Here is a 17,084-nt window from a genome sequence, read left to right as displayed (position 1 = left end):
AGAGAGATAAAAGTCTAAATATTATCTTTATTATCTAAAAAGTGGACTGGAAGATTTGGCCTTAGATCTGTGGCCAAATTTGCTTGCTAATATTTTACCTCTAAATTAAAAAGTCCCAGATACTACCATAGTGGAACAGCCACAGGCTGCAATTTATTTGCAATAATTGTGGATCATAAAAGTTCACTCTCTCATGAGAAAATGCCCTTCTTCTGGTTTCCCGAAAGATTATTCCACTCTGTATCAGTTTATACCCTAAGTTACCTCATCTTTCAAACGACAGGCTAATGTTGTGCCTTTCCATTTGAGACAAGGTGATCTCTTTTTTCCCCAGCTAACAAAGGGAGACTCCATTTTGCCTAAATAAGACTTCCTGAAGTTGTTTTTTGTTTGTTTGTTTTGAGGTCTTACTCTGTCTCCCAAGCTGGAGTGAAGTAGTGCAATCACAGCTCACTACAGGCTTGAACTCCTGAGTTCGAGCCATCCTCCCATCTCAGCCTCCCTAGTAGTTCTAGGACTGAAGATGCATGCCACCACAACCAGCTATTTTTTTTTTTTTAATGGAGATAGGATCTTCCTGGTCTTGAACTCCTGGCCTCAAATGATCCTCCAGCCTTGGCTTCCCGGAGTCCTGGGTAGAACCCAGAGGGATTCAGATGTAGGTGAGCCACCACAGCCAACCAAGTTTGTGTTTTCTTCTTAAGGTGCTTAAGCTCAAATTGTATCCATTTCAAATGGATTGTATTGTCCCCAAAAGCCATGGCTAAGTTGGAATGCTTTGTGTAAAATCACAGGAGATAAAATAATAAGTAAAAACATGGGAACGTTACTATAGAAAGTCCTGGTGACAGTGAAAGAACAATATTAACTTAGTTGGCTAATGTTTAATGAGTACCTGCTGCATGCTGGGCACAGTTCTAGGCACTGGATGATTGCAGTGAGCAAGAAGCTTCCACTTTAAGTTGGCAATGATATTTTAATTGAGGAGAGCAACAGTGAACACTGGAACACAATATAAGATGTGAAATCTAAGCTATGAGGACAATAAAACAGGGTAATGTATCAGAGAGTGATGTTAGGGGGTGGACAGCTTTATATTTTTCAATCATACTCTCAATAACCTCAGGAGTCTTCTCTTCAAAAAATGAGGAATCGCACAATTTCTTCACTAGCAACAACCTTTCTTTTCCTGTAGTCTCAACTCTTTCTCTCCATTGGCTCCTTTCCCCAAACAGTAAACATCCTAAAAATATACACATATGCACACGCTTATAAATACACAAAACAGAGCCACAAAAATAAAACCCCTCTTGCTCCTAAATATGTATCTAGTTTTAGCCATGTTCTTTTTCTCTTCTCATTCACACTTCCAGAAAAAGTAGTTTAGGCCCCCACTGTCTTCATTTTCATAAGTCACATTCATCCCATAACCCACTAAAATCCAACTTCTGTCTGCTCCATGCCATTGAAACTGTTCTTGCTGAGGCAGGGCCACTGCATACTGCTGGGTAGGTTGTGTATATACATCCCTGGTTAAAATTTTATTGACCTTTGTATTGCCAAATCTAATAAATACTTTTCTGTCTTTATTCTATTGCATGGCTCAGATTCATTAAACACTACTAGTCATTCTTCCATTCTCAAAAACCTTGGCTTTGTCAAAGACTGGAAACAACACAACTGTCCATTCCTAGAGGTCTAGCTGAATTAACACGATGGAGTACTTTGGAGCTATAACAAAGTGTTAGGTCTGTTTTCTATATGCTACAGAGAGTAATTGCCAGGATATATTGTTAAGTGAAAAAAGTTGAGTAGAGAAAAAATATGTATTGTATGTTGTCATTTATTTTTAAAAGGTGAGGGATATGAATATATACATGTTTGATCATAAAAAACAATAATGGAAGGATAAACAAAAAATGTTTTAAAGTTACATAGAGGGCAGAGGGAAAGAAAGGTAGAAAAAACAGGATGGAAGCTAGATTTCTCTGAATATACCATGTTTTGTGGATTTGACTTTGAACCCTGGAAATATTCTATTTACTTATAAAGTGAAAGTCATTTTGTAAAAGAATCAATAGAAACTAAAATAAAAAACAAATCAACCTGTTAATCAAGCTTGTGATACAGAAAGGAATTATTTCAAATGACTTAAAAAATGCAGGCAGATCACAAGGTCAGGAGATCGAGACCATCCTGGCTAACATGGTGAAACCTCATTTCTACTAAAAATACAAAAAAATTAGCTGGGTGTGGTAGCACACACCTGTAGTCCCAGCTACTTGGGAGGCTGAAGCAGGAGAATCACTTGAACCCAGGAGGCAGAGGTTGCAGTGAGCTGAGACTGCATCACTGCACTCCAGCCTGGTGACAGAGTGAGACTCCATCTCAAAAAAAAAAAAAAAAAATGCCGGGAGTGGTGGCTCACGCCTGTAATCTCAGCACTTTGGGAGGCTGAGGCAGGTAGATCATGAGCTCAGGAGTTCAAGACCAGCCTGGCCAAGATGGTGAAACCCCGTCTCTACTAAAAATACAAAAAAATTAGCCGGGCATGGTGGCACACACCTGTAATCCCAACTACTCCGGAGGCTGAGGCAGAGAATTGCTTAAACCTGGAGAGGTGGAGGTTGCAGTGAGCCAAGATCGTGCCACTGCACTCCAGCCTGGGCGACAGAGCGAGACTCTGTCTCAAAAAAAAAAAAAAAAAAGCAACAATCTGTAAATCCTTCGTGGAATATAATTGAAGGGCAAAAATAACTAGAAAAGAAAACTTTCAGTAGTCATATCATTATTAATAATATTTGGCATTTTTAATTTGAAATTATCATAAAAATATACAATGATGCAACACATAGTGATGTTTTGGTCAATGATGGACTGCCTGTATGATGGTGGTCTCACATAAGATTATAATGGAGCTGAGGAATTCCTGTCACCTAGTGACATTGCCATCATAATGTCATAGCATGATGCATTACTCCTGTTTGCGGTGATGCTGGTGTTAACAAACTGGCTGTACTGCCAGTTGCATAAAAGTATAGCACATACAATTATGTACAGTACATAATACTTGATAACAAATGACTATGTTACTGGTTTATGTGTTTGCTATACTGTATTTTTTATCATTATTTTAGGGTGTAGTTCTACTTATTAAAAAAAAAAGTTAACTGTAAAGCAATCTCAGGCAGGTCCTTCAGGAGGTATTCCAGAAGAAGGTATTGTTATAGTAGGAGGTGACAGCTCCATGCATGTCATCTTCCAGTGGGGCAAGATGTGACAGTGGGAAGCAGTGATACTGATGCTTATCCTGTGCAGGCCTAGGTTAATGTGTGTGTCTGTGTCTTAATTTTTGACAAAAAAAAATTTAAAAAGCAAAAAAAAAATTTTTTTTTAATTTAAAAATATAAAAAGTTTATGGAATAATAATATAAAGAAAATATTTTCGTACAATTGTACAATGTGTTTGTATTTTAAGCTAAGTGATTACAAAATACTCCAAAAGTTAAAAAATTTTAAAGTTTATAAAATCGAAAAGTTACAGTAAGCTAAGGTTAATTTATTATTGAAGATAACTTTTATTATATAAATTTAGTGTAGCCTAAGTGTGCAGTGTTTATAAAGTCTACAGTAGTGTATAGTAATGTCCTAGGCCTTCCCATTCACCCACCACTCACTCATCTACTCACACAGAGCAATTTCCAGTCCTGCAAGCTCTATTCATGGTAAATGCCCTATGCAAGTGTACCATTTAAAAATCTTTCCTATTTTATTTTATTTTTCATCTGAATGAAGATGCCAATAAAGGACTTTTACTGCAGGTTTGTTGCATTTAAATGACACAATGTAAGGGGTAAAAAGTGTACAACACATAAAACCCCAGCATCAAACAAACAAGCAAAACAAAACACCAGCATCACTCATTTCCTCTAAATTCACAGTACAAAAGCAAATTATGGAAATGATGCGAGAGGGAACCAACAATGGCATATTTTCTTCTTCCTTAAAGAAAATCATAGCTGTCATTAATATTTATTCCCCTGTGAAGTACATTGTTCTAACTTCCATTCCAAGGGGAAGTTCTGTCCTTGAGGACACCCAAAATTATGCTATTACACGGCCGCATCAGCAGCATCCTGGGCACTGGGAGAAAAAGCCAAGCAGCTGGTTCTCTGTACAAAGTTGTTGCTCCATAGATAATGTAACGATAGGATCATTTCACCATTACCAAGTCTCCTGCAAGGGTCCCTACATACCTTGACCAGTGAGGTCCTGAGGTCAGCAGAGTCACAGCTGAGCAGGCCACGGGTACTTCTAAGTAGGAAGGCATAACAGTGTGAGAGAAGTCCACTCAGGTCTGCTGATTAAGCTATCAATAAAGGCTAAGAACATTCAGACTTATTAACTCCTTGAATGAGACCCCTCATTCTCTGTGGTTCTCTCAATTCAAGGTAGCAATCTGTCATCTCTGAAGTTGCTCCTGAAAATAGAGGGAAGATGATGGCCAGGCATGGTGGCTCATGCCTGTAATCCCAGCACTTTGGGAGGCCGAAGTGGGTGGATCACTTGAGGTCAGGAGCTCGAGACCAGCCTGGCCGACATGGCGAAACCCCATCTCTACTAAAAATATAAAAATTAGCCCAGTGTGGTGGCTTGCCTCTGTAATCCCAACTACTTGGGAGGCTGAGACACGAGAATTGCTTGAACCTGGGAGGCAGAGGTTGCAGTAAGCCAAGATCATGCCGCTGCACTCCAGCCTGAGTGACACAGCGAGATCATGATCCACAACAAAGCTAAGGGAATGTGTATAAAGCATAAGGCAGCAGCTCTCTACCTCTGGTGGGCATCAGAAATACCTGTGTATGTTTCTAAACATATGAGGGCTTGGACCTCACTCCCTACCTCCAAAGGTGGAGCTCCAGGGAGATAGGTCTTGCTAAAGTTCAGTTGGCAATTCTGATGTCTGCCACAGAGAACTAACTATTGGTACAATGTTTCTGCCAGGCCTATGCACAATCTTTATTTGGTGTAACTGGAGATGATTTATCAATGGTGCATTTTACAAGATCACCACGTTAAGAAATCCTTCTTTTGTCTACCCTGGCTGCAGATTACCCACAAAGAGGCACACATAAAATGTCAATTCACTTCATAACCAAAGTTAGAATTTTATTTTTTTTATTATTATACTTTAAGTTATAGGGTACATGTGCACAATGTGCAGTTTTGTTACGTATGTATATATCTGCTATGTTGGTGTGTTGCACCCATTAACTCATCATTTACATTAGGTATATCTCCTAATGCTATTCCTCCCTGCTAACCCTACCCCACGACAGGCCCTGGTGTGTGATGTTCCCCACCCTGTGTCCAAGTGTTCTCATTGTTCAGTTCCCACCTATGAGTGAGAACATGCGGTATTTGGTTTTCTGTCCTTGCAATAGTTGCTCACAATGATGGTTTCCAGCTTCACCCATGTCCCTACAAAGGACATGAGCTCATCCTTTTTTATGGCTGCATAGTATTCCATGGTGTATATGTGCCACATTTTCTTAATCCAGTCTATCACTGATGGACATTTGGGTTGGTTCCAGGTCTTTGCTATTGTGAATAGTGCCGCAGTAAACATACATGCAATAAACATGTGTCTTTATAGCAGCATGATTTATAATCCTTTGGGTGTATACCCAGTAATGGGATGGCTGGGTCAAATGGTATTTCTAGTTCTACATCCTTGAGGAATTGCCACACTGTCTTCCAAAATGGTTGAACTAGTTTACGGTCCCACCAACAGTGTGAAAGCATTCCTATTTCTCCACATCCTCTCCAGCACCTGTTGTTTCCTGACTTTTTAATGATCGCCATTCTAACTGGTGTGAGATGGTATCTCATTGTGGTTTTGATTTGCATTTCTCTGATGGCCAGTGATGATGAGCATTTTTTCATGTGTTTTTTGGCTGCATAAATTATCTTGGGCAGTATGGCCATTTTCACGATATTGATTCTTCCAATCCATGAGCATGGAATGTTCTTCCATTTGTTTGTGTCCTCTTTTATTTCATTGAGCAGTGGTTTGTAGTTCTCCTTGAAGAGGTCCTTCACATCCCTTGTAAGTTGGATTCCTAGGTATTTTATTCTCTTTGAAGCAATTGTGAATGGGAGTTCACTCATGATTTGGCTCTCTCTTTGTCTTTTATTGGTGTAGAGGAATGCTTGTGATTTTTGCACATTGATTTTGTATCCTGAGACTTCGCTGAAGTTACTTATCAGCTTAAGGAGATTTTGGACTGAGACGATGGAGTTTTCTAAATATACAATCATGACATCTGCAAATAGGGACAATTTGACTTCTTTTCCTAACTGAATATCCTGTATTTCTTTATCCTGCTTGATTGCCCTGGCCAGAACTTCCAATACTATGTTGAATAGGAGTGGTGAGAGAGGACATCCCTGTCTTGTGCCAGTTTTCAAAGGGAATGCTTCCAGTTTTTGCCCATTCAGTATGATATTGGCTGTGGGTTCATCATAAATAGCTCTTATTATTTTGAGATACGTCCCATCAATACCTAGTTTATTCAGAGTTTTTAGCATGAAGGGCTGTTGAATTTTGTCGAAGGCCTTTTCTGCATCTGTTGAGATAATCGTGTGGTTTTTGTCTTTGGTTCTGTTTATATGCTGGATTACATTTATTGATTTGTGTATGTTGAACCAGCCTTGCATCCCAGGGATGAAGCCAACTTGATCGTGGTGGATAAACTTTTTGATCTGCTGCTGGATTTGGTTTGCCAGAATTTTTGCATCAATGTTCATCAGGGATATTGGTCTAAAATTCTCTTTTTTTGTTGTGTCTCTGCCAGGCTTTGGTATCAGGATGATGCTGGCCTCATCAAATGAATTAGGGAGGATTCCCTCTTTTTCTATTGATTGGAATAGTTTCAGAAGGAATGGTACTAGCTCCTGTTTGTACCTCTGGTAGAAATCGGCTGTGAATCCATCTGGTCCTGGACTTTTTTTGGTTGGTAGGCTATTAATTATTGCCTCAATTTCAGAACCTGTTATTGGTCTGTTCAGGGATTCAATGTCTTCCTGGTTTAGTCTTGGGAGGACGTATGTGTCCAGGAATTTATCTATTTCTTCTAGATTTCTAGTTTATTTGCGTAGAGGTGTTTATAGTATTCTCTGATGGTAGTTTGTATTTCTCTGGGATTGGTGGTGATATCCCCTTTATCATTTTTTATTGCATCTATTTGATTCTTCTCTCTTTTGTTCTTTATTAGTCTTGCTAGCAGTCTATCAATTTTGTTGATCTTTTCAAAAAATCCAGTTCCTGGATTCATTGATGTTTTGAAGGGTTTCTTGTGTCTCTATCTCCTTCAGTTCTGCTCTGATCTTAGTTATTTCTTGTCTTCTACCAGCTTTTGAATGTGTTTGCTCTTGCTTCTGTAGTTCTCTTAATTGTGATGTTAGGGTGTCAATTTTAGATCTTTCCTGCTTTCTCTTGTGGGCATTTAGTGCTATAAATTTCCCTCTACACATTGCTTTAAATGTGTCCCAGAGATTCTGGTATGTTGTGTCTTTGTTCTCATTGGTTTCAAAGAACATCTTTATTTCCGCCTTCATTTCATTATTTACCCAGTAGTCATTCAGGAGCAGGTTGTTCAGTTTCCATGTAGTTGAGCGGTTTTGAGTGAGTTTCTTAATCCTGAGTTCTAATTTGATTGCATTGTGGTCTGAGAGACAGTTTGTTATAATTTCTGTTCTTTTACATTTGCTGAGGAGTGCTTTACTTCCATCTATGTGGTCAATTTTGGAATAGGTGTGGTGTGGTGCTGAAAAGAATGTATATTCTGTTGATTTGGGGTGGAGAGTTCTGTAGATGTCTATTAGGTCCACTTGGTGCAGAGCTGAGTTCAATTCCTAGGTATCCTTGTTAACTTTCTGTCTTGTTGATCTGTCTAATGTTGACAGTGGGGTGTTAAAGTCTCCCATTATTATTGTGTGGGAGTCTAAGTCTCTTTGTAGGTCACTCAGTACTTGCTTTGTGAATCTGGGTGCTCCTGTATTGGGTGCATATATATTTAGGATAGTTAGCTCTTCTTGTTGAATTGATCCCTTTACCATTATGTAATGGCCTTCTTTGTCTCTTTTTCTCTTTGTTGGTTTAAAGTCTGTTTTATCACAGAGTAGGATTGCAACCCCTGCTTTTTTTTGTTTTCCATTTGCTTGGTAGATCTGCCTTCATCCCTTTGTTTTGAGCCTATGTGTGTCTCTGCACATGAGATGGGTCTCCTGAATACAATACACTGATGGGTCTTGACGCTTTATCCAATTTGCCAGTCTGTGTCTTTTAATTGGAGCATTTAGTCCATTTACATTTAAGGTTAATATTGTTATGTGTGAATTTGATCCCGTCATTATGATGTTTGCTGGTTATTTTGCCCGTTAGTTGGTGCAGTTTCTTCCTAGCATCGATGGTCTTTACAATTTGGCATGTTTTTGCAGTGGCTGGTACTGGTTGTTCCTTTCCGTGTTTAGTGCTTCCTTCAGGAGCTCTTGTAAGGCAGGCCTGGTGGTGACAAAATCTGTCAGCATTTGCTTGTCTGTAAAGTATTTTATTTCTCCTTCACTTATGAAGCTTAGTTTGGCTGGATATGAAATTCTGGGTTGTTGAATATTGGCCCCCACTCTCTTCTGGCTTGTAGAGTTTCTGCCGAGAGATCCGTTGTTAGTCTGATGGGATTCCCTTTGTGGGTAACCCAACCTTTCTCTCTGGCTGCCCTTAACATTTTTCCTTCATTTCATCTTTGGTGACTCTGACAATTATGTGTCTTGGAGTTGCTCTTCTCAGGGAGTATCTTTGTGGCATTCTCTGTATTTCCTGAATTTGAATGTTGGCCTGCCTTGCTAGGTTGGGGAAGTTCTCCTGGATAATATCCTGCAGAGTGTTTTCCAACTTGGTTCCATTCTCCCTGTCACTTTCAGGTACACCAATCAGACGTAGATTTGGTCTTTTCACATAGTCCCATATTTCTTGGAGGCTTTGTCCATGTCTTTTTACTTTTTTTTCTCTAAACTTCTCTTCTCACTTCATTTCATTCATTTGATCTTCAATCACTGATACCCTTTCTTCCACTTGATCGAATCGGCTACTGAAGCTTGTGCATGTGTCATGTAGTTCTTGTGCCATGGTTTTCAGCTCCATCAGGTCATTTCAGGTCTTCTCTATGCTGTTTATTCTAGTTAGCCATTCATCTAATCTTTTATCAAGGTTGTTAGCTTCTTTGTGATGGGTTCAAACATCCTCCTTTATCTTGGAGAAGTTTGTTATTACTGATCGTCTGAAGCCTTCTTCTCTCAACTCGTCAAAGTCATTCTCTGTCCAGCTTTGTTCCATTGCTGGTGAGGAGCTGTGTTCCCTTGGAAGAGAAGAGGTGCTCTGATTTTTGGAATTTTCAGCTTTTCTGCTCTGGTTTCTCCCCATCTTTGTGGTTTTATCTACCTTTGGTCTTTGATGATTGTGACATACAGATGGGATTTTGGTGTGGATGTCCTTTCTGTTTGTTAGTTTTCCTTCTAACAGTCAGGACCCTCAGCTGCAGGTCTGTTGGAGTTTGCTGGAGGTCCACTCTAGACCCTGTTTGCCTGAGTATCACCAGCGGAGGCTGCAGAACAGAAAATATTGCAGAACAGCAAATGTTGCTGCCTGATCCTTCCTTTGGATGCTTCGTCTCAGAGGGGCACCCGGCTGTATGAGGTGTCAGTCGGATCCTACTGGAGGTGTCTCCCAGTTAGGCTACTCGGGGGTCAGGGACCCACTTGAGGAGGCAGTCTGTCCGTTCTCAGATCTCAAACTCCATGCCGGGAGAACCACTACTCTCTTCAAAGCTGTCAGACAGGGATGTTTAAGTCTGCAAAAGTTTCTGCTGCCTTTGTTCAGCTATGCCCTGCCCTCAGAGGTGGAATCTACAGAGGCAGGCAGGCCTCCTTGAGCTGTGGTGGGCTCCGTCCTGTTCGAGCTTCCTGGCGGCCACTTTGTTTACCTACTCAAGCCTCAGCAATGGAGGACGCCCCTCCCCTAGCCTTGCTGCTGTCTTGCAGTTCAATCTCAGACTGCTGTGCTAGCAGTGAGCGAGGCTCCATGGGCGTGGGACCTGCCAAGCCAGGTACGGGATATAATCTCCTGGTGCACCGTTTGCTAAGACCATTGGAAAAGCACAGTATTAGGGTGGGAGTGTCTCAATTTTCCAGGTACAGTCTGTCACAACTTCCCTTGGCTAGGAAAGGGAATTCCCAGATCCCTTGCACTTCCCGGGTGAGGCGATGCCCCGCCCTGCTTCCGCTCACACTTCATGGGCTGCACCCACTGTCCAACAAGCCCCAGTGAGATGAACCCAGTACCTCAGTTGGAAATGCAGAAATCATCCATCTTCTGCATTGCTCACGCTTGGAGCTGTAGACTGGAGCTGTTCCTATTCAGCAATCTTAGAACCCAAAAAGCCCAGAGTTAGAATTTTAAATGAACTTTTGCGCTTCACACTTTGCTTCTTTTATGTGGTAGACCTAGGATGTTCTTTTTGACTTCTTATTTGTAGTTAGTTTCACAGAAAATTCTTCTGGATTTAGTGTGCTGCTAATCTCTTGTTTGAAAGATTAAAAAGATTTATATATACATATATTTTTAAAAAAGACCAAACAGGTTGGGTGTGGTGGCTCATGCCCTGTAATCCCAGCACTTTGGGAGGCTCACGTGGGCAGATCATCTGAGGTCAGGAGTTCAAGACCAGCCTGGCCAACCTGGTGAAACCCCATCTCTACTAAAAATACAAAAAATTAGCCAGGCATGGTGGTGCATGCCTGTAGTCCCAGCTACTCAGGAAGCTGAGGCATGAGAATTGCTTGAACCTGGGAGGCGGAGGTTGCAGTGAGACAAGGTCATGCCACTGTACTCCAGCTTGGGTAACAGAGTGAAACTCTGTCTGAAAAAAAAAAAAATACAGAAAACATTCATCTTAGCACCTTCTGATAAAAATTTTTAAAAAAAGACGCTGATTTTACCTTACCACTGATTTTTACTAAACTTTTAAGCTTTAGTTTAAGCAACAGGATCACAATTTATTTCCCATCACTAACACCCAGATTGTTTCAAATACTCAAAAGGGAAGTGCAAAACATCATGCTGTAGGATTTCTATGCCTTAGCTTCTGCAATATTTCTCTACAAAGGGGCCAACATGACCCTAGCATTCCTGTCTTCACTCTCAGAGCTGTACAAATTATGCTTTTCGATGTATTCTTGAAAAAGATCTGGTAGCAAGTAGTGAACGCTCTGGCCCCTTCTAAGGGCTCTCTGGATTTTTGTGGATGAGATATCATTAGTGATCCATTCATTCACCACATGAATGTTGCTGTGGTGTTTCCATAGCACATTAGAGTCATAGATGAATTTGTGAGCATCATTTGCAGCCCAAGTAATACATAAGAGCCCATAGTCAGCCACAGTTTGGGTGATGTTTTCACCTTTCCACAAATTAGGAACACCAAAGCACTCCAGTAAATCTGCCCCACACAGCAGCTTGACCTTTGATGCACCTTTTGGTTTTGGCTCTAGGGATTTTTTTTTTAGTAGAATCTTGTCTTTGTTCAGTTCTCTTCCTCTTCCATCCAGGCCTTTCTAGTGTAGGTGAGTTCTGCTTGTGATCACAGTTAGTAGCCTCCAGTTTCTCCTGATGGTGTGTTAGCAAAGTAATAGTCTCTTTCCACTTTTTCTGAAGACTTTCCCATGTATCAACTTCCACTCACTTGGAATTCTTGGTGGCAAGTTCGGCTATGATGACCTGGTGATGGGCAGGAATGAGTCCTTTCTTCTTATAAGCATCACCAACAGGAAAGATCATGTGTTTGACAACTCTATATCTTCCTGTTCCATTCATATAGTCCTTGGCCAGCTCAAACAACCTTAGGTGCCTGTTGGTGATAGGATTGAAGGAGCTACAGCAAGGAGAACCACTTCAGTCTCTGAATTTTCCATAGTAAGAACTTGAAGTTGTTGATGTAAATGGAAAACTGTGATGCCTCCCTTGTTGTTTTTACAAAGGAAATTCTTTGAATCTGAAATGTCTTGCAAAGTAGACTATTGGAACCATTCCGATTAGTGTGTCAAAAGTCTTCTCTAAGGTGGGCTAGAAAAATGGTTTTATATCCAAACTGTAACTTGCGCCCTCACTGTCCACTGGCCTGAGTGCTCCTGGAGACAACCCATGTCCAGGACGCCAGTGAGGTGAACACCTTTCCTATTGTATTTTTACTGGACCTTTTCCAGTATTCAGTACAGTAACATGCTGTATAGATTTATAGCCTAGGAACAATAGGCTACAGCATATAGCCTAAGTGTGTAGTAGGCTATACCATCTGGGTTTGTGTAAGTACAGTCTATGATGTTCACACAACAATGAAATCACCTAACAATGCATTTCTCAGAATGTATCCATATCATTAGCAACATATGACCGGGTAACAAAAAGTAATTACTTTAACATTGTCATCAACCAAGCTTTACCACATAAGAGAAAAGCAATAGAAATACAAATTTAAACAATTTAATTAAAACTACTTTAACCTTAATTTTGAATTGAGAATATCAGTATGAACTCATGATGTACTTTGTCTAAAAATACATATTCCCTGGCTCTTCTGAAGAAAAAGTTTTAAAAACAATTACCAATGCAATAGCAATGAACATCTTTCACACTCAGATTGTGACCTCTAAATAGCATTCCCCATTTAAAAAAACTAAAACGTTTTGGAGAAATGACTGATTCTACATCTGGAGCAAGACATGCATAAGATGACTATGGGTCATTCTTACTTTCCCTCCCTCCCTTCCTTGCTTCCTTCCTTCCTTCCTTTCTTCCTTTCCTTCCTTCCTCCGCTCTTTCCTTTTCTCTTTCTCTCTCTCTTTCTCTGTGTTCTTTTCTTTAAGGTCTCACTCTGTCACCCAGACTAGAGTGAAGTGGCATGATCACAGCTCATTGTAACCTTGAACACCTGGGCTTAAGTGATCCTCCTGCCTCAGCCTCCTGAGTAGCTAGGGCTACAGGCGTGTGCCACCATGCCCAGCTAATTTTTTACTTTATTTTTGTAGAGGCGGAGTCTTACTGTGTTAGCCAGGCTGGCATTAAACTCCTGGCCTCAAACAGTCCTAAAGTGCTAGGATAACAGGTGTGAGCCACTGCACTTGGCGCCATCTACATTTTCCTAATGTCAGTTATGCTAATTGTATAAAATGATCTCACTACCTGTTATTCTATTAGCAAAATTGCTTTGCAGACACCTAAATAGTACTTTCATTAAAAAGGAAATGCACAGAAATTGTAGAACATTATTACCTGTTAAATTTTACCTCTACTTTTTTACAGTAGTGAGAACCCAGCCCTGAATAAATAAATTTTCTAACTGTGTTTGTTTTCCCACATATGATTTTTGAAGCCCATAGCTATTTCAGTCTTTCAAACTCCTATGCTTTGAAATTCCTATAGTTGACCAGGAGTGGTGGCTGACACCTATAATCCCACCAGTTTGGGAGGCTGAGGCAAGAAGATTGCTTGAGTCCAGGAGTTTGAGACTATAGTGAGCTATGATCACGTCACTATACTCTAGCTTGGGTGACAGAGCAAGACCCTGTCTCAACAAAAAGAAAAAAAGAGAAAAGAAATGCCTGTTGTTGCAGAAAAGCCTCGAATTTTTTCTTTTCTTCTCCTTTTTTTTTTTTTTTTTTTTTGAGATGGAGTCTCACTCTCTTGCCCAGGCTGGAGTGCAGTGGTGCGATCTCGGCTCACTGCAACCTCTGTCTCCTGGATTCAAGCAATTTTCCTGCCTCAGCCTCCCAAGTAGCTGGGAATACAGGCATGTGCCACCACACCTAGCTCATTTTTGTATTTTTAGTAGAGATGAAGTTTCGCCATGTTGGCCAGGCTGGTCTCAAACTCCTGACCTCAGGTGATTCACCCTCTTTGACTTCCCAAAGTGCTGGGATTACAGGTGTGAGTCACTGCGCCTGGGTGCCTCCAATTTTTTCTGAATGAGATAAAAACGTTGTAGACCTGTGTCTTTTCTAAACTCTTCCCAAATTATAAATGGCAAGATACAGTTGACTTACTAGGTCACTCTCAACATTAGAATAAAGGGGGAAATGTAGTATAGAGTCCCAGAAAATCTGTAACAATAGAGTTTCCTGACAGTATAACAAACATTTCAAATCAAATATAAAATGTCCCTCTTTCCCAGTAAATAGAGCTACCCTGGCCCTTTCAGTAACTCTTTGGGATAATCAACTATTAGTGCATACTTAGCCACAAGAACTCGTGGACAAGATACATCTTACTATCTTCCTTTACCTGGAGATCCACCCATTTCTTCTCACTTAGTCTAGATATCACAGGATTAGTTAGACCTCAAGCTTCCCAGATACTGTAGCTCCTAAAATTATAGAGAGAACAGCAGAAAACTTCTTTCCCCACATTCTCTATTACTTTCTCAACCCACAAAAGGAGAAAAATATACAATCTAACCCACAAATGGAGGAAAATATACAATCTGGAATAAATCTTAAGGTGTCATCTCCTTTGTCTGTCATCTTTAATGTGCTAGAATATCTGGCATTAGGCCCAGAAAATTGAGATTTACTTCCACTTCTCAAAGATCTCTATTTCCTCTACAAAGGAATACTCATCAGTAAGGCAATGCTCTTGGCTCAATTTAGCTTAAAGGGACTTAGACTGGAGCCCTCCATTACAGAAGCTTTCTCCCCTGTGTATTTGTATTAATGTATTCTTTCCTCTTGACAATCTTCTCCCAGAAAATTTCTCCCTCCCTAATAGTGTTTTTGGTGGACAGACATTAACCATCATCAGTCTTCAATCCTACTTTGCAGTATTTAGATATTCTGATGTCCCTTAGTTCACTAGATTCATCGGTTTGTTCAGTAAATATTTACTGAGCATCTACCAGGCCCTGGTATAGGTCAATAAGCAACACAGAACTCTTCCTTTCATGGAACTAACATCCCAGTGGCTCTTGCAAATATCCTGTGAGATGGCTTCAAACAGGCAGCATGGTAGTGTGTCCTAAACAAGCGGAAAAAAGAATCAGACTAGTACATGCAGGTTTCCTCTTCACGAAGCTCTCATTCCTGTCCTCTGGGTCCATTTTTCTCATAGGTAGGTTGTGCACTCTGCTTCTTACATTCTCAAAAACAGTGCACTGAACTGCAGGTGTTGTGGGAATACATTTAAGAAATGTTAAAAAAGACCATAGGGGAAATGACTCACTTTGTAGAAATTCACATCAATAGTGTATCTGGAATGATCCACTTTGCTAGCTTGGAATACAAACACAATTGCCTCATATTTATTTATTCAATTTATTACCTGCCCTTAGTGATAGGAAGTCCACTTATTTCCTAAGGCCTCCCTCAGCCAGCCTGCTTGGGTAAGAACACTAGGAACTTACTCAGTTCAAAGGCGATCAGTCCTGCAAAAAGCCAGGACGAGAGAGAAATCTGGGAAGTATGAACAATCCACTAACACCTTGGCTTGGTCTCTGTCACATGAGGTTAAAGATGGGTCCCGCACATTCTGATATCAGGACATTTGTTTGTGGCTGCTGTGATGCTCCTACTGATTCAGCTCTCTTCTTCCCATCACCCTGCCAGTGTCCCTCTGGAGCTCTGAGACCACATCTATTTTAGGTCACATTCACACACTCATCAATTTTTTCCCTTCAATGCTTAGCACCAAGCCAGGTGGGCCAAAGCTAGAAAAGAACTCAATCCCAGCCTCTTGTCATGCTGGAGCACATAAGTCTTCTCCATAAATCCTTCTTTGGTCTGTCTTAGCATCTCTTCCTGCCACTGGACTACCTCGGCATACCCCAACAATGAATCTCCCTGTTGCATGCAAAGGAGAAAGCCAGATGTTGTTAAGCAACAGACACATGCTCATTTTGGACACCTACACCTACACACAAACTCTCACAGGCAAAGATTGTCTGTTTGCCTTACATTTTCACAACTTGGAGGGTCTTTGAAATGATTTTCCTACAGTGAAGCAATATGCTTCAGGGAACTGTTTTTGGCTGACAGTAAAAGAAATGGAAGCTCATGACAACACTAACTTTTCATAGAGAAAGGTCTGCTTCTAGCACTATGGATGTTGAGTGAGACCAAGTCATCATTACGTAGGGCTTCATTATTCATGAGGGGAGGGCTACATTGTTTGCTTCTCTCCCATCACATGGTATTTTTACTAAACATTAGCATTTTAATAACTGAGGAAAATATGAATGAGAATATGTTAGTGTGCCATTTGTGGTGGCTTTTAGAAAACATGATGTTGGACAAATGAAAGTCAATGATGATGGTGACATAAGATTTCCTGGGCCACCTATTTGAAGGCTCCTTTCTCCTTCAAACACCTCATTGTTCTGCTACTTTCAATAACACTACATGAACTGCAGAATTAAATCAGAAATCTTTAGCCAGGCATTCAAAGTCTTCTGCAATCTAGGACTTACCCACCTGTTCGTCTTAATTTATCATTATCTTTCTAACTAAATTCTGAGCTTTGGCTGTATTTGTTTACTCACTAGTTCATGAACTTACCATGCACAGTTTTAAAGATAAACTTTAATTTGGAATAATTTTTAGATGTACAGAAAAAAATATGAAGTTGGTACAGAGAGTTCCTATATGTCTACTCTTTATCCAGTTTCCCCTAAAGTTAACATCTTACATTATCATGCTACATTTGTGAAAGTTAAGAAAACAATGTCGGTATATTACTTTTGACTAAACATCAGTTTTCATACTACAGTCCTTTCGCTGTTTCAGGATCCTATCTAGGATAACAAATTATATTTAGACCACGCATCTTTTTTGTTTCTAGTCTCTGTTCATTGCATTTTCCCCCCAGGATGCCCTTTTCTCTCCTTTCATATTCTCCAAGGTCCATTCATGTCTTATCTCTGCAAGCTTTTCCTAATTGCTCCTGTCCTCTGTGATTTTTCTCGTCTTCAAATTGCAGAACCACT

The 17,084-nt window shown here is 40.3% G+C and overlaps 1 pseudogene; it reads right to left on the bottom strand.

Moving 5' to 3' along the window:
- Nucleotides 11,584-12,083, bottom strand: NMNAT1P4 (NMNAT1 pseudogene 4; annotated as a pseudogene).

The sequence above is a fragment of the Homo sapiens genome, chromosome 4 (assembly GCF_000001405.40).
Source record: "Homo sapiens chromosome 4, GRCh38.p14 Primary Assembly".
Taxonomy (NCBI): Eukaryota; Metazoa; Chordata; class Mammalia; order Primates; family Hominidae; genus Homo; species Homo sapiens.
The sequence above is the reverse complement of the archived record's forward strand: the minus strand, read 5'-3'. Positions and strand labels throughout refer to the sequence as shown.